The sequence below is a fragment of the Homo sapiens genome, chromosome 8 (genome assembly GCF_000001405.40).
Source record: "Homo sapiens chromosome 8, GRCh38.p14 Primary Assembly".
Lineage (NCBI taxonomy): Eukaryota > Metazoa > Chordata > Mammalia > Primates > Hominidae > Homo > Homo sapiens.
The window spans coordinates 30637157-30655506 of NC_000008.11; the positions used below are offsets into that span (position 1 = coordinate 30637157).

At 37.5% G+C, this 18350-nt stretch overlaps 2 protein-coding genes and 1 pseudogene across 10 annotated transcripts in view; 2 read left to right on the top strand and 1 right to left on the bottom strand.

Moving 5' to 3' along the window:
- GTF2E2 (general transcription factor IIE subunit 2) overlaps nucleotides 1-18350 on the bottom strand; it is a 79919-nt gene that overhangs the window by 58839 nt on the left and 2730 nt on the right. For 5 of the 7 annotated variants that reach the window (NM_002095.6, XM_017013364.2, XM_011544509.3 and 2 more), the window contains exon 2: nucleotides 16277-16446. In NM_002095.6, the coding sequence (NP_002086.1) occupies nucleotides 16277-16442 (166 nt within the window). In that variant the 5' untranslated portion in view covers nucleotides 16443-16446. Of the gene's footprint in view, nucleotides 1-16276; nucleotides 16447-16546; nucleotides 16826-17919; nucleotides 18029-18350 lie in introns of those variants that run through there. The other 2 variants (XM_017013363.2, XM_024447138.2) reach the window with 2 other exon arrangements.
- On the top strand, nucleotides 1424-8908 carry SMIM18 (small integral membrane protein 18). 3 transcript variants are annotated; one of them, NM_001206847.2, is made up of 3 exons: nucleotides 1424-1483; nucleotides 7336-7416; nucleotides 8125-8908. In NM_001206847.2, exon 3 carries the CDS (start codon nucleotides 8154-8156, stop codon nucleotides 8439-8441), a length of 288 nt encoding a protein of 95 aa, NP_001193776.1. In that variant the 5' UTR covers nucleotides 1424-1483; nucleotides 7336-7416; nucleotides 8125-8153; the 3' UTR covers nucleotides 8442-8908. The 3 variants fall into 3 exon arrangements, with proteins under 3 accessions (NP_001193776.1, XP_016868432.1, XP_024302818.1); XM_017012943.2 differs by having other exon boundaries at nucleotides 7354-7416; XM_024447050.2 differs by having other exon boundaries at nucleotides 1424-7416.
- RNU5A-3P (RNA, U5A small nuclear 3, pseudogene) lies at nucleotides 6533-6646 on the top strand (annotated as a pseudogene).

An 18350-nucleotide genomic window follows, 5' to 3' on the forward strand; every position in this document is an offset into this window, starting at 1 on the left:
TCCATCTGAAACTGGCCATTTTGTCAAAGTACAGAAATCTGTGACTGCACATTTAATGCTTGTTTAAGTAAAATAATATTAAGCTTACCCCACGCAACTGTATAAACAACTGGGAAGACTATGAAAAAAGAGATGACAATGTGTTAAGGACAAACACCACACAAATGGCCAATTATGAATCACAAACAGTTGTGCTTATGAGACATGATGCTTATGTCTCTGGCATCTACTACTAACTCAATGTCAAGCTTAGTAAACACTCAATAAATATTTGTTGAATGAATGACTATAATACAGATATTTCTATGCATTCCTTTATGGCCCCAGAAACTAATGTACCAATTCATCTATAATTTTATTTTATTTATTTTATTTTATTTTATTTGAGATGGAGTCTCACTCTGTCGCCCAGGCTGGAGAGCAGTGGTGTGATCTCAACTCACTGCAACCTCTGCCATTCGGGTTCAAGCAATTCTCCTGCCTCAACCTCCTGAATAGCTGGGATTACAGGAGACTGCCACCGTGCCTGGCTAATTTTTGTACTTTAGTAGAGATGGGGTTTCACCATCTTGGCCAGGCTGGTCTTGAACTCCTGACCCTGTGATCCACCCAACTCAGCCTCTCAAAGTGCTGGGATTACAGGCATGGGCCACCGCTCCCAGCCTTCATCTATAATTTTAAAAAAGAAGTCTACATAGCATGTACCTGGTCTGCTGCTGTTGTTAACAGCCACTCCCATAATTAAAAACCTTCATTCTGTTGTGCTTAGACCATAACTCTAAATAATACACAGTAACTAAAAATACTCTGTCTCTAAAGAGCCAACCTGGAGATCACTTTGCCATTTACATTTTAGAGACTATTTTTTGAATGCAGGTAGTGTATTTACCTAAATGAGCCCTCTTCCAACTTGCAGAGCTAAAAGCCAATTATTTTCCTTCATAATTCCTCCTAAATCAAACCACCACATGGAAATAATCACTTCCAGAGTGCAAAAATTATATACGGAACAAGTAATGAAAGAAAAGGAAGAACAAGAAAAATTTATAAGATTTTATGCACACTTCCTGAAGGAAATATCAGGCTGGCAAACCTGGACTGTTTGTTTCCTAGGTTACTACCTTTCCCGACATTATCTTCCAGCCCTAGCACTGAAGTATTCACTGAAGGATCTGAAATTTTATAATGAAACACTAAAGAATCATCAATTTGTTAGTAACTCACAAATTCCTATATAGGAATTTAGCTTAAGAACAAAAAAATAAAGGAGAAGGGATGACAGTTGATACCCCAGACAGCTCTATTCAAGTTTATGAATGATTTACTCTTAAGGGTGGCAAGACTTAATGCAAATGAACATAGAGGAAACTGTCAGCTCCATTGTGGTTCAACCAATAGAAGCACAGCTCCATCTTGGCTGTGCACTAGACTGCATTACAAACAGACGATACCATCGCTTCAGCAGCATCCTCTCAGACAAGAGGTAGGTTTATATGATCTTTTTTATTTAGTGGTACATGTCCTTATGATGCAATAGGAAAATATTTTACCCTGAAAAATCAACCAGAAAGCTTTGCTCCTACTAAATATCAAGAAAAAGCAATGTATTCGTTTCACCGCTTGGTAGGATTTTATTATGAAAATATGAAGACTGCCTTGTGCTATTTGATAAGCACCCTTACCATCTGTGCCTTAATGGAAAATTCATTACATTTTACATGAACCTGATCTATATCCAGACCTCAGAGTAAACCATAGCTTTTTATTTTAACTGGTTACTTGCTAATTTCATTTTCTCTGAGCGATTTCATTTCTGCAGTTTGGTCTGTCTTAACAAAGGATTTTTCTTAAAGAAAAACCCAGATCAAAAGCGAATTCCAGACTAAAGCTTTCTGATTCTATGTGCAAATGATATTGGCTGCTAAAAAATAGTTACTTATAAGAAAGTTTGTTATATTTTTTAGAATATGAGAAAATAGTTCAAAATTATTTTTATTTTGCTTTGAATGTAGATGCAGAGAATGCCAAGAAATTATCACAATTTTAATTTTTATATAAAAGATCATAAAAGGTATCACTATATGGGCTGCATTATACTACACTGAACAGATAATTTATACAGCTTCAGACTTCCTTAACATTTAATTAAAGTATTTCTTCACTGTGAAATTTCTCTCTCGTAATATAAAGTCATGCTATTAAACAAAAACCTTCTTAAATAGCCTTTCATTTTTGATATCAATTTATCACACCATTTAAATATAATGTTGAAGTCATTCTTAAACTGATCCTCAAAATAAATACAAAGTAAGTCCTTTTGATAAACTGCATTTTAAAATAAAAATATGTCCTAAGAAGAACTGGTTAAGAAAGGAGAGTAAGTACCTTTCTAGGTAACAAGATTATCTTCGTGGCTCAGAGCAATCATTCATGTCTATTAAAAATTAATATTAACTGCTGACCAAATTTCTAATTTTATACTATTCAAGCATGAAAATTTAGTTATTTACTAGATGTTAGAACTCCATCTATATACTATATCGGACCTAAAGAGCCAGCTTCTGTCCTTTTACCTTGCTGGTAAGTTTATTTAATCTTTAAAGGGTTTTTGTTTTTTTTTTCTTCATAATTTCTATTCCTTTTCTTAGTCGGCATTCAGCTAGCCTGAGCAAAGTATCCCCTGCAAAACCCAAAGGTTGCTGTAATAAGATACTAGATCTGTCCAGGTTCAGCACAGTGGGGTTAATTATCTAGAAACCATTTGTGCTTGCTACAGAAAGTACAGAAGCACCAAACAAAAGTCTCAGATAAAATAAAAATAACTTTGTCAAATAAAACAGTTAACTTACAAATCAAATTTCAGGTAAACTGTCAACAGAAACCCCTACCACCCACATTGTTTTAACACTCTATCATCAGCCTGCATTTTGCTTGGAATATGTCTATTGTTAGCACAGATGGAGGCTCATTGCTGTTTCACCAAACTGACTGGAGACATGGCCTAAGTTCCAGAGCTTAAATTAAGTGAGTTGCTCTATATTTACAGGCTATTAGGATTAACTGATCACATTTCAAAGTGATATGCTTAAAAGCACCTGAGAATTCAATTCAAAGGCTTTTACCATAAATACAGCAAAAGCATAACTTTATTCTCATCTGGCAACCCAAAGGTTCCAGAACAGTTCCAAGTCCCATCCCCATTAACACTGCACTGGGGCCTTTGGGAGTAAACATATCAAATGGGAGTAAACATATCAAAATGGGAGTAAACATATCAAATGGGAGTAAACATACCAAAATTAACATAAAACAAAACTAAAACACATATGCTAAAAAAAAATTATGTGATTTACTTTAAAGCTCCCCATTCCTGTAATCAAATTTTAAGGCATGGGTAGGGAAGTCCAGAAAAAGATTGTTTTACCTTTTTTTATATACACCATTTTCTCTTGCTTTTCATAAAGAATGTTTACAGCATTTGCTTAATATAAACTTACATTTTAATTTCAAAACTAAGTCGCAGGATAGGAGAAAATCCTAATGATGTATTTCTATTTTTTGGCGGGGGGACGGAGTCTCACTCTATCGCCCAGGCTAGAGTGCAGTGGCGCAATCTTGGCTCACTGCAACCTCTGCCGCCCAGGTTCATGAGATTCTCCTGCCTTGGCTTCCTGAGAAACTGGGATTACACACACCCGCCACCACAACTGGCTAATTTTTGTGTTTTTAGCAGAGACGGAGTTTCGCCATGTTGGTCAGGCCAGTCTTGAACTTATGACCTCAGGTGATCTGCCTGCCTCAGCCTCCCAGAGTGCTAGGATTACAGGCCTAATGGTATATTTCTTTCTGCATGCTTAATTATGCCTAATCCATGAAAGTAAGATTTAGCCTTTACCCTAAATTAAACATCAAAAGTTACTAGAGCTCTACCACACTTTGAAAGAACATGCCACACTAAATTTAAGGTGGAAAATGACTCCATATTAGAGAGTTTACTTTTTTCAGATATGCCCAGAAGCTAACAAACAATGAATGTTTTGAGCCGCTCGGTTATCAATACACTCACAAGACAAATCATCATCATTTACAACATAAACCTGACCTATACACTTTCTTAAACTGCTTAGACACTTCCAGCAAAGCATGTAAGTGCCTTTGGAGGTGGCCTATGGTGTTACCTATAGTTATTATTAAAAGCGTAATTTGTTTTGGTTTGGTTTTTTTGAGACAGGGTCTCACTCTATCACCCAGGCGGGAGTGCAATGGAGAAATCACAGCTCACTGCAACCTCAACCTCCTAGGCTCAAGCTATCCCCCCACCTGAGCCTCCCAAGTAGCCGAGACTACAGGCGCAGGCTATCATGCCCAGCTAATTTTTATTTTTGTAGAGACAGGGCCTCCCCACATTGCCCAGGCTGGTCTCAAACTCCTGGGCTTGGCCAGGCGCGGTGGCTCATGCCCGTAATCCCAGCACTTTTGGGAAGCCAAGGTGGGTGGATTACCTGACGTCAGGGGTTCAAGACCACCCTGGCCAACATGGTGAAACCCCATCTCTACTAAAAAGACAAAAATTAGCTGGGTGTGACTGTACATACCTGTAATCCCAACTATTCGGGAGGCTGAGGCAGGAGAATCACTTGAACCAGGATGCAGAGGTTGCAGTGAGTCAAGATTGTGCCACTGCCATCCAGCCTGGGTGACAGAACGAGACTCTGTCTCAAACCAAAAACAAACTCCTGTGCTCAAGTGATCCTCCTGCCTCAGCCTCCCAAAGTGTGGGGGTGAAGGCATAGGCCACAGCACCCAGCCAAGCATAATTATTAAAAGCATTTTTATGTGTGAATAAAGTATACAGTCTAACAAAAATGACAGTGTTTCCTAATCCCAATTTGAATTTTTTGGAATCCAGAATACTCAATAAATGTATTAAATAGATACATAAACAACAGGCTCTTTTAAGTGAAAGTAAGTTTATTAAGAAAGCAAAGGAATACTCAGCAGCACTTTAGAAGTTTTATTAGGCTAACGTTTTGTATTACAGTGCATTAAATAAGTCAATATTGACAGCTGATTTAACTAGATGTGTTACATTTTGAAAGCACAAAGGGATTTTATCTTTTTGAATTAAAGGAGAAAAGCCAAAAAAAAAAAAAAGGAAAGGAATAAAAGAATGGTTACTCCATACTACTCCATAAGCAGGAATAAAAGAATGGTTACTCCATACTAATCCATATTGTTGGCTAACAATAGACTTTTAAGAGAGCCAAGAATAAGGAATAGTGCTTTTTATTTCTCTTTTTAAAATAGATGATTTACTTTGGTTTCAAATAAATAATATATTTAAATTGTTGAAAAAACAAAAGAACACAAGGTACAGGTTAAGAAGCCTCAAACATATCCCTGTGCCTCACTCTCCTCCCGATGGATCCCCATCCACACCATCATTGTGATTAATTTCTTGTAGGTCTTTCTAAGATTTCTCTGCAGATACAAGCAAATAAGAGTATATGTTTTCCCTCTTCCTATATACACTATCCTACACCTTGTTCTTTTCACTTAAGAACATATCCTAAATATCTTTCCTAAAACTCAGTTACCTATGATTCAATTGTGTGAATAAACTATATTAATTTAACCAGAAGAATAGCTCATTAATGGATACAAGTTAAACCTCAAATAACTGAATTTAGTTATGTATCTGTCTGCCTTCCTGACTGCCTCTTTCTATTTATTTTTGAGGTAAGGGGACCTGAAAATATTTTAAGCAGTTCACTTATACCTCAAAAGTAGATGAGATATCTCTTTTTTGGAAATGGGAGTTTCACTCTTGTTGCCCACGCTGGAGTGCAATGTGCATTTTCCTTCAAAATGCAGGAAAAAAGGAGGCAAGTCCATCCAGAGAGGTGAAGTGACTTACCAAGCAAACCTAAGAAAACAAAAACCTTAGAAAACATAATTTTATCAACCCCAAAGATTTTATTAAGAAAACAAAAAAATTTAAGGAATTATATTGTTATGGCTTTGAGTTTGGGGTGTGAAAACAATATTGTGGTTATGTTTAAAAATAGAGTCCTCACCATTGGGAGATATATATTGAAATATTTCTAGGTGAACGATGCCTTGAATTTGCTTTAAAACAACCAATGGGGTGGAAGCAAACAGGTACAGGTAGAGATGGGCCAAGAGTTGATGAATGAAGTTGCATTATAAGTACATGGGAGGCCAGGCGCAGTGGCTCACGCCTGTAATCCCAGCACTTCAGGAGGCCAAGGAAGGTGGATCACAAGGTCAGGAGTTTGAGACCAGCCTGACCAACATGGTAAAACCCGTTTCTACTAAAAATACAAAAATTAGCCAGGTGTGGTGGCACATGCCTGTAATCCCAGCTACTCAGGAGGCTGAGGCAGGAGAATCACTTGAACCCAGGAGGCGGAGGTTGCAGTGAGCTGAGATTGCATCATTCATTGCACTCCAGCCTGGGCAACAGAGCAAGACTCTGCCTAAAAAAAAAAAAAAAAAGACAGTACATGGGATACTCTGGTTTCTCTTCAGATCATACAAATCTCTCACCTTTTACTAAAGATTTCTTCAGAGAGTAATAATTCTAAGTCTTAACCCAATTTTTGAGGCCCTGCATCTGCAAGGCTAGTAAGAAAGAAAAAAAAAAAAGTACATGGGGTTCATACTACTTTGTAGTTTTCGTTAAATGAAACACTCTCACACAAAAGGTATCTCCAGAATTTACAAAAATATTTGGTACACATTAGGTAATCAATAAACATTTGTTATAAAAATAAAATCCTGTTTACAACTATGTAGTAAAGGAAAAGCATACAGAATGACAACCGATAAATTAATGAAGTAGAACTACATTTTTTCTCTTATTTCCAAAATGTTCTTAGTGCACAGGTTATCTTATAATTTTTAAAACTAAATGTTAAAATATTTGTTAGAGATCAAGACAGTAAAAACTAATTTAGTTCCTCATTACTATAGTTCCATACTGACAAATCTTTGATTCTAACAGTCCCCATTTAAGAGCTAACAAGTACCAGGTCAACAAGAGCTAAACTTAATTCAAGAATACTGAAACTTGAACTCACCAGCTTCTTTTGTGAAATGGAATAATAACTGATACCTTTGGGAGGGCTGAATTTGTCTGTTTTTTTAAATATTTATGTCTATGGGTCACTCAGGTATACGAAACACTTAAGACTATCATTTATAACCCCAAGATTAGGGTCTCTTCACAGATCACTCTAACCTAAAATTTTATTATCCTCATTCTGAAAATTGGCATTATTTGGTTTTCTTTCTCTACTATTTTTCACTCAGCCACTATTTCTGATTCAGATCACCTGTCATCGAAGTTTAAAGAAGGGGAAACAGGAGACAGAAATACACTGAACCAAAAAGGTAAGAAGAATCCACAAGGCTAATGATAAAAGCTTTTCCAGGGGCAGTTTGAAGAACATAACCTTAAAACGCCAAGGTTTTTTGTAGATAACAGCTCACTGACCACTGCTTTAATCAAGTTTTAAACCAATTCAGCTGCCTTTTCCCCTTCCATTAGCAGTTAATTTCGGTATATGAATTTTTTTTTTTTTTTTTGAGAAACGGTTTCATTCCCATTGTCCAGGCTAGAATGCAGTGGCACGATCTTAGCTCACCACAACCTGCGCCTCCCTGGCTCAAGCAATCTTCCCGGCTTAGCCTCCCAAGCAGCTGGGACTATAGGCACACACCACCATGCCTGGCTAATTTTTGTATGTTTTGTAGAGACGGGTTTCGCCATGTTGACCAGGCTGGTCTTGAACTCCTGGGCTCAAGTGATCTGCCCACATCACTCTCCCAAAGTGTTGGGATTACAGGCGTGAGCCACCATGCCTGGCCTGAATCTTAAATATACATATTCATCTAGCAAATAATATATGTTAAAAAACAGGGTATGGTTGACTAAGGACGTTGGCCCAGATATACAAAAAAATTCAAAACTACCATTTAGGCATTAATTAAGGAAGATTCATGTTGCCTATACAAATTTACTAAGAAATCTTAGTACTGAGATTTGAATTAACAGATCTGTAGTTTGCTACATAAATTCATTTTCTACCTTTTTTATAGATTCAAAAGAGCAAGTGGAATCTCTAAGAATGGCTTCCAGCCACTGGAATGAAACCACTACCTCTGTTTATCAGTACCTTGGTTTTCAAGTTCAAAAAATTTACCCTTTCCATGACAACTGGAACACTGCCTGCTTTGTCATCCTGCTTTTATTTATATTTACAGTGGTATCTTTAGTGGTGCTGGCTTTCCTTTATGAAGTGCTTGACTGCTGCTGCTGTGTAAAAAACAAAACCGTGAAAGACTTGAAAAGTGAACCCAACCCTCTTAGAAGTATGATGGACAACATCAGAAAACGTGAAACTGAAGTGGTCTAACACTCTATAGAAGATGAACAAAATCTCTGAAAGCAGCTCAACCTCTTCTGAGAAAAAAAATATATTCTGAGGCCAACTGTTGCTACAAAACAAATTCTGACTGAATGGTTAAAACATTTCTAGTAGAAGGGGAAAAAAAAGTTAAACATGCACTGTTTGTGTGTATAGCCATTTCATTAAATATACAGTAAAACTTCATGAATGTGAATTTACTAATCTGTTTAATACTGACACTTCAAAAACTGGATAAAAGATTCCTAGAGTTCAATATTAAGCAGCAAAAGATAAGCTGGAAAAGACAAGCAAGGCTAATGATGCTAAAATGATTTTATAACTAACCAATTCATGTAGACAAAAAATAGTGTGTTGGTAACAAAAAGGCTATTTAAAACATGTTTCTAAGTCTGAAGTAAAATACTTCCACTTATATATATAAAGTTCCTATTTATTAAAAAGTAGTATTTTCTAATTTACTGAAAACAACTTATATAAATATATAATGACTTGAGTTTTATGTAGGATTAGTATGAAAAAGTCTCAAAATAATCAAAAATGCCACAAGTATATTTGCACAAAATTCTCACAAAACTGACTTACTGTTTAGTTAGAAATGCATGATATAGGAAAGGCCTAGTCTATTTTCAAACTAAAACTTACTACTACACCCCTTCATTTCCTGAGTTTGTTCTTTCATTTTACCTCTCTTATTTATACTCTCAAAGGCTAAGATAACCAAGGCAGAAAGACTGCCCCTCCCCCCATCCCCCCAAAAAAGGTCAAAAGATAGGGCCACTCAACACCTGTTGAAATATGGCAGTTTTATTTCTTGGAATTCCAAGGGCTATATAGATATTTTGTGACCCTAACACTATTTTGCTATCACCCATGAGCAAACAAAAGCATGCTCTTAACCACCACACTACCCCTAAGTCAGAAATGCCACTCCTGGAAATGTATCCTAAGCACTTAGTTCAAATGTACAAGCTCAAGGTACAAAGATTTTTTACAATGGCATTACTCAAAATAACAAAAAATTGAAAATAACTAAGACTTTAACTAAATGTGGCACATCAACTTAATGAATTATTAAAAAGCAACTGAAGGCCAGGCACAGTGGCTCATGCCTGTCATCCCAGCACTTTGGGAGGCCAAGGCGGATGGATCACAAGGTCAGGAGCTCAAGACGAGCCTGGCCAAGATGGTGAAACCCCGTCTATACTAAAAATACAAAAGTTAGCCGGGCATGGTGGTGGGCACCTATAATCCCAGCTACTCGGGAGGCTGAGGCAGGAGAACTGCTTGAACCCAGGAGGCAGAGGTTGCAGTGAGCCGAGATGATGCCAATGCACTCTAGCCTGGGTGACAGAGCAAGACTCCGTCTCAAAAAAAAAAAAAAAAAAAAAAAAAAGCAACCGAAAAGTCTGGCAAGATAGACAAGTATTTAAAAGTAAAAAATAAATTCACCATATAAAAGTTTTAATACAATTATTGATATTATAAATATACACATGAGTAAGGTTTGAAAACAAATATGGAGAATTAGAATAGCTGGTATATTAAGAGGGCTGTGGGGACAAAAAAAAGCACTAGGTATTATAAAAGACTTTTTTTAAATCTCTATTACTGATGGAATTTTTTGTGTGCAATAAATAACTGTGTGGTGAAGAGAGGAAATCTGTTCTTTTCAATTTAAAGAATATCGGCTGGGCGCGGTGGCTCACGCCTGCAATCCTAGCAGTTTGCAAGGCCGAGGCAGGTGGATCACCTGAGGTCAGGAGTTCGAGACCAGCCTGGTTGACATGGTGAAACCCCATCTCTACTAAAAATACAAAAAAATTAGCCAGACATGGGAATGGGGCCCCTGTAATCCCAGCTACTTGGGAGGCTGAGGCAGAATCACTTGAACCTGGGAGGCAGAGGTTGCAGTGAGCTGAGATCATGCCATCGCACTCCAGCCTGAACAACAAGAGTGAAACTCCGTCTCAAACAAACAAAAGAATCTTAACTGCCGGTCTGAAATAACTCTTCCACAAAGTATTTTTTATATTTATTCTCACATTAGAAACAAACACAAATAATATAACCAACTTTAAAAGGATTTGTGAAGCTTGGATATATAAAATACTTTGGAAACCAGGAACTGAGCACTGTTAAAACCATATACATTTTCACAAACGTTGGATTCTTGGCAATAGATGGTAAGTATACAAGTCCTTTAATAATCAGATTTTTTAATAGTGTACATTACCAACTTTCTCCCCCACCCTATCCTGTAATTATTTAGTCATCCAACAAATATTTACTGAGTGCTTACTACATGTCAGCAATTAGGCCAGATACTGAGGGCAGAGTGGCAAACAAGGAACCACGTCACTACAATGGAGCACATTGGAAGCTCTGTCAAAAAGAGTAGTGATATGGGAACTCAAAGGTTATACAGTGAATTCACACTGAAGAATGAGAATAATATGACTTTTAAGCTGAAACTTAAAAGAACAGGACAGAACCAAAAGAGGGTAGGAGGTAAGAAAGAATATTCCAGGAAGAAGAAATAATACGAATAAAAGCCAAGAGGCAAGAGAGAATAAAGCATGTTGGAGGAGCTACAAGTCAGTATCACTAGGACAGAGTACAAGGAGAACAGTATGATACCACACCTAAGAGATAATTAGAGGCCAGATGAGGCAGGCACGCAGGCTGCAGTAAAACATGGACTTTATCTGAAAAACAGTAACAATCAGCTTGAGCTGAAAGCAACATGATCTAATGAGAAAAATCACAGCTGTATGAAGAATGAACACTAAAGCAGCTAAACCAGGAGACCTGGTCAACAGCTAACCTAGCAATCCAATGACCGTGGCCTGAACTAGAGTGGCATGGTAGCCTTTAGTTGTTACACCCAATATTTCCAGCTCTCTTCATTAAGGAAAGCATTCACTTCAGAGCCCCCTATGGCTGGGAACATAACTTTGGCCAATGAGTGACTTGTGACTAACTCTGGCCAATGAGCTGTGAGAGGATGTGACATGTGTCACCTTCAGGCCACAGCACTTAACTGCTAGTGCAAGCTCTTCCAGAGTTAGTTTTCCTGCTAGCACAGAACTCACAAACATTTGAGCTTCCAGCTGCTCTGCCAGCCTGGGTCCTTGAGTGACTATAACTAGCTAAGACTTCTACCAATCCATGATAAACATGTAGTATGAAGGAGAAACAAGCTTCTGTTGTTTTAAGAAACTGAGATTTTTGGGATTGTTACCACAACACAGTTTATCCTACCCTGACTGTTAGGGAAAACCCTGGCCAACCAAAGAGAAGTAAAACCCTACAAGGGCTCTTCCTGCTGTCGAATGGGACCTGTTTGTGGGGAAGATGAAATTCGCTACCCAATACCTGTAGCCTAAACTACAAAATGCAAAGACATTCTTGAGCAGGTCAAAGGCTCAAGTGGCTTAAGCCTGAGAGTGGCTATGTTAATGTTTAAAACAGTTTTTACATTTTTGTTTATGATGAGTTAATTCTATGTACATTTCATTGGAACGACATATAAACCTAATATATATTATAAGAATGACAGGCCTACTTTGATTTTTAAAAAAGCTTTGCTTCCAAATCAGTTATAAAACAGCTTGTAGGATGTGTAAAAAATTAACATCAATAAAAATTATTATTGCTACAATTTGAAGTAGCTAAATAATTTCAGCTGTGAATTAAGTTCCACTGACATTGTTTAAAAGATAATAATGTAAGAGTAAACTAAACCCAAAGCAAGCAGAAGGAAGGAAATAATAAATACTGATGTGGAAATAAAAACAAACAAACAAACAAACAAAAACCAAAACAGAAAAGCCAATGAAACCAAAGGTTGGTTCTTTGAAAAAAATCAACAAAATTGATGAACCTTTAGCTAGACTCATCAAGAAAAAAGGGAGAAAAGACAAATTCCTAAAATCAGAAATGAAAGAGGACACTGGGTGAGGTGGCTCAGGCCTGTAATCCCAGCACTTTGGGAAGCTGAGGCAGGCAGATCACCTGAGGTCAGGAGCTCAAGACTAGCCTGACCAACATGGCAAAACCCTGTCTCTACTAAAAATACAAAAATTAGCTGAGCGTGGTGGCACACACCTGTAATCCCGGCTACTCTGGGGGGCCTGAGAGACAGAGCAAGACTCCGTCTCAAAAAAAATGAGAGGGGATATCACTACTGACTTTATAGATATCAAAAGGATTATAAGGGAGTACTTTGAAAAACCTCAGACAATGTAAATGATGAATGAATAAACTTCTAAAAAGCCACAAAGTACCAAAAGTAACTCAAAAAGAAATAGAAAATCTGAGTAAACTGAAAAGAAAAAATTCTTACAAAGAGCTTTCCACAAAGGAAAGCTGAAGCCCAAATGGCTTCACCAGTGAATTCTATCAAACATTTTAAAAAATAACAAAGTTTCACAAACTCTTTCAGAAAATAGGTGAAAAGGGAGCACTTCACAAATCGTTTAAGGAGGCCAGAATTACCCTGAGAGGCACCAGAGAAAAACGAAACTACATACACATCAAGTCCCTCAGGAATAGAGATGCAAAAATCCTGACCGAAATACCAGCAAATTGAGTACCACAACAAATAAAAATGATTATACACCATAACCAAGTAGGATTTATTTCAGGAATAAATGCAAGGTTGTTTGAACATCTAAATATCAATTAATGTTAATATATCATATTAATAGACTAAAGAGTGAGAACATGCTCATCTCATTAGATACATAAAAAGCATCAGACAACATCCAGTACCCATTTATGACTAAAAACTCTCAGTCAGATGCAGTAGCTTATGCCTATAATCCCAGCACTTTGGGAGGCTAAGGGGGATGGATCCCTTGAAGCGGGGAGTTTGAGACCCACCTGGGCAACAAAGTAAAACCCCATCTCTACCAAAAAAAAAAAAAAAAAGTTTTAATTAGCCAAATGTGGTGGGCATGTGCTTGTAGTCTCAGCTACCCGGGAGACTGAGGCTTGCTTGAGCTGGGGAGTTTCGAGGCTGCAGTGAGCCATGATCACGCCAGCAGTGAGCCATGATCATGCCCGTACTCCAGCCTGGGCAACAGAGTAAGACGCTGTCTCGAAAGAAAACAAACAAAAGGCTGGGTGCGGTGGCTCACGCCTGTAATCCCAGCACTTTGGGAGGCCAAGGCGGGTGGATCACAAGGTCAGGAGATCGAGACCATCCTGGCTAACAGTGTAACCCCATCTCTACTAAAAAGACAAAAAAATTAGCCAGCCATGGCGATGGGTGCCTGTAGTCCCAGCTACTAGGGAGGCTGAGGCAGGAGAACAGCATGAACCCGGGAAGTGGAGCTTGCACTGAGCTGAGATTGCGCCACTGCACTCCAGCCTGGGCAACAGAGCAAGACTCCGTCTCAAAAAAAAAAAAACCACCTCTCAACAAACTAGAAATAGAAAGGAACTTCTTCAACTGGAAAGGGCATGTACAAAAACCTGCAGTAATATCATGCGTAAGAGTGAAAAACCGAATGCTTTGCCCCTAAGATCAGGAACAAGGCAAAGGTAGCTACTTTTACTATTCAATGTACAGCCAGTCCAGACAGGCAAGATAAATAAAAATTAAAAAGTTCACACCGGAAAGAAAGAAAGAAAACTGTTCTTATTCACAGATGACATAATCTTGACATAGAAAATCCTAGGGAAACCACACAAAAAACTACGAGAAATAAAAAACAAGTTCAGTCAGGTTACAGAATACAAGATCAATGTATTAAAAAAAACTCTTGTTTCTATATACTAGCAATGAACAATTTAAAAAAAAAAATCAAAGAAAACAATTTCATTCATAAGTGAGATTGAATCAGAATAAAATAACCGCTGGGTGTAATGACTCACACCTATAATCCCAACACTCTGGGAGGCTGAGGTAGGAAGATTGCTTGAGGCCAGGAGTTTGAGACCAGCCTGGGCAACAGAGCAAGATCCTGTCTCTACAAAAAATTTGTAAAAAGCCATCTATTCATTGACTGGAAGATCTAATATTGTTAAGATGGCAGTTCTTCCCCAAATTGATTTATAGATTCAATTCAATCCCTATGGAAATCCCAGCAGGCTTTTTTGCAAATGTTGATAGATTGACCCTAAAATTTATGCAGAAAAACTAAAACAATTCTTGAAATAAAAAAGAACTAAGTTGATGGACTTACATTTCTCAGTCTCAAACCTTAATTACAATGCTACAGCACTCAAGAGAAATGATACTGGCATAAAGATAAACACAGAAGTCAATGGAACCAAACTAAGACTCCAGAAATAAACTCTTTGATTTATGGTCTACTAATATTCAACAAGGGCGCAATATAATTCAACAGGGGAAAGATCATCATTTCAAAAAATGATGCTGGGACAACTTCATAAGAACACGCAAAAAGATAAATTTTGACTCTTATGCTAATCCATACACAAAAATCAACTCAAATATACTACAAACCTAAATGCAGGAGCTAAAACTACAAAACTCTTAGAGGAAAACACAGAAAAAAATTTTCATGACCTGTGTCAGGCAAAGATTTCTTAGATATGACACCAAGAATACAAATGATAAAAGAAAAAAACTGGTAAGGTGGACTTCATCAAAATTAAAAACTTTTGTACATACAAAGACACTATTAAGAAGATAAAATGACAAGCACTTGCTTGGAGAAAATATTTGCAAATGTATACCAGATCAAAGAATGGTAGCCAGAATATATGAAGAATTATTAAATCAATAGAGAGAGGAAATATACCTCAGTTTTTTTTATGGGCAAAAAAAAATTGAATAGACATTTCACCAAGGAATACACATGGTCAATAAGCACATGAAACAATGTTCAACATCATTACTCATTAAGGAAATGCGTATTAAAGCCACAATGATAGAACTTCACAACTATAGAAATAGCTATGATTAAAAAAAAAAAAACAGAATTTCAAGCGTTAGCAAGGATGAGAAAAAACTAGAACCCTGATACATTGCTGGAGGAAATATAAAATGGTACAGCTATTTTAGCAGTTTCTTAACAAGTTAAATATAAATTTGACATATGACCCAGAAATCTACTTCTAGGTCTCTATCCAAAAGAGATAAAAAGATATGTCTACACAAAGACTTGTACATGAATATTCATACCAACACTATTCAAAACAGCCAAAAAGTGAAAATAATCCAAATAACCGTTTATTGGTGAATGGATAAACAAACTGTGGTACATATATCCATACTATGGAATACGCTTTACCAATAAAAATGGAATGAAGTACTGATGCATACTACATGGATGGAACTCAAAAATATGCCAAGTGAAAAAAACAACACACAAAAGACCACTTACTGTACAATTTCATTTATAGGAAATATCCAGAAAAGGCAAATATACAGAGCCAGAAAGCAGATTATTGGTTTTCCGGGGCAGGGATGGGAAAAGTCACTGCAAATGGGCACATCAGATCTGCTGGGGGTGATGGAAATGTTCTAAAATTGGACTGTAATAACAGCTGCAAAATTCTGTAAATTTACCAAACATCTTTGAACTGTAAACTTAAAATGAATGAACTGTATGGTATGTAAATTAAACCTAAATAAAGTTTTTTTAAAGAGGTAATAACCTAAATTTTAACTACAGCACAAGACTATTAACATCCTAAGAGCTTAAATTCTCTTGTCCCATCCTTTATATTCAACAAAGTGCCTATCAACATGAGTGCTGAACTGAAAAATGAACTAGCCATAACTAAACGGTTTCCTCCTGAATAATCTGAATAAAAACCAAACAGTCCTAAACAATTTTACTAACCAGAATTTTGTTTAGAGCCTGACGATCCTCCATGTTCTACCTTTGTTTTCTTCTTCTTTGACGATGATGATGATGACTCAGAAGATGCTGAACGTTTTTCTACTACAGGAGTAGAAAGAGCTCGTTTTTTGAACAGCTCCCTTTCTCTCAACAGGCTTGGATCCATAATGCTACAAAGAAAAAATAAGTGTCTTTAATACAAATTCAAGTCACTCAAACCTGCACTCCAAATCCACAGATCTCAACAAGTTACTTCCCAAACAAAATTACCTTTTATTATTAGTTCTCTAGCACTTGCATTTATTCACTTATTCAAGTACTCAAGAAATATTTCATTAGCGCTTATTACACGCCAAGCACTGTACTAGCCATTATAGGAAAAAAAGAGGCCAGGCATAGTGGCTGAAGCACTTTGGGAAGCCGAGGTGGGCAGACTGCCTGAGCCCAGGAGTTGGAGACCAGCCTGGACAACATGGTAATACCTCCTGTCTACAAAAATACAAAAAATCAGGCAGGCATGGTGATGTGTGCTTACAGTCCCAGCTACTCGGGAGGCGGAAGTGGGAGGATCACTTCAGCCTGGAAGGTCAAGGCTGCAGTGAGCTGTGATAATGCCACTGCACTCTAGCCTGGGTGACAGACCAAGACCCTTGTTCAAAAAAAAAAAAAAAAAAGAAAGAAAGAAAAGAAACAGAATTATTCCCTAAAGTTCCAGAACTGTGCTGTCCAATATATTAGCCACTAGCCACATGTGCCTATTAAACATGTGAAATGTGGCTAGTTAAAATTGAGATGGACTTTCAAGTGTAAAAACCCACAAGATTTCAAAGATTTAGTATAAAGAAAAAAACTATTTAATTACTAACGAGATATTTTACATTAATTACATGTTGAAGTGATACTATTTTGAATATACTGGGTTAAATAAAATGTTAAAATTAATTTCACCAATTTTTCTTTTAAAATATGGCTATTAAAAAAAAATTAAGAGACAGTGTCTCACTGTGTTGCCCAGGCTGGAGTACAGTGGTGTGATCATAGCTCAATGTAGCCTTGAACTCCTGGGCTCAAGCAATCCTCCCACCTCAGCCTCCTGACTAGCTAGTACTACAGGTACACGCCACCACACACAGTTAATTTTTTTAAAAACTTTTTAGAGACAAGGTCTTGCTATGTTGCCCAGGCTGGTCTTGAACTCCTGGCCTCAAGCAATCCTCCTACCTCAGTCTCCCAAAGCACTAGGATTACAAACATGAGCCACTGCACCCAGCCTAGAATATTTTTAATTACACGTGTGGCTCACACTTCCCACTCCCATTATATTTCTATTGGACAACACTGCTGTAGAAACATGAGGACTACAGGGCAGAAATTAGAAGAAGGTGGATTTAGGCTCACTGCAAAAAAAGAGAACCATCAGAACTGCTTATACATAAAATGGCATATTTTTACAACTGGTGAACTCTCAATTATTAAGTGATGAAGAGGCTGAATTATTATACTATTTGTTAGAAATGTCTACAGAGAGCCGGGCACAGTGGCTCATGTCTGTAATCCCAGCACTTTGGGAGGCTGAGAGACCAGCCTGGGCAACATAGTGAAACCCTATCTCTACGAAATTAGCCAGTCATAGTGACACATACGTGTAGTCCGGGCTACTCAGAACGCTGAGACACGAGAACTGTTTGAGTCCAGCAGAGGTTGCAGTAAGCTGAGATCCCGCCACTGCCCTCCAGCCTGGGGGATACAGCAAAACTCTGTCTCAAAAAAAAAAAAAAAGTCTACAGAAAATTTCCAATTTGGAGGGAGGTGGTTTGAGGCAACTTCTATGTTGTGGTTGTTGTTTGTCTAGTTCTAAAATTACAACTCAAAGCAATTTCACTACAACCAGGGAAGCTACAGGTCAACCAACAAGAATTCTAAACACACCTCTCTTCTGAACTCTGCTAGAACCCTACAGAGGGTCTATGAAGACCTCAAGCTGACTATATAAATGAATTTGACACTGTTAAGACTAGTGTCAGCTGGGAGGAAAAAGACTCATACTTTGAAAGCTTTTAAGCACAGATAGCTC

Excerpts from the sequence above, each read along its gene's own strand:
- SMIM18 (XM_024447050.2), top strand. The coding sequence starts at position 8,154 with ATGGCTTCCAGCCACTGGAATGAAACCACTACCTCTGTTTATCAGTAC.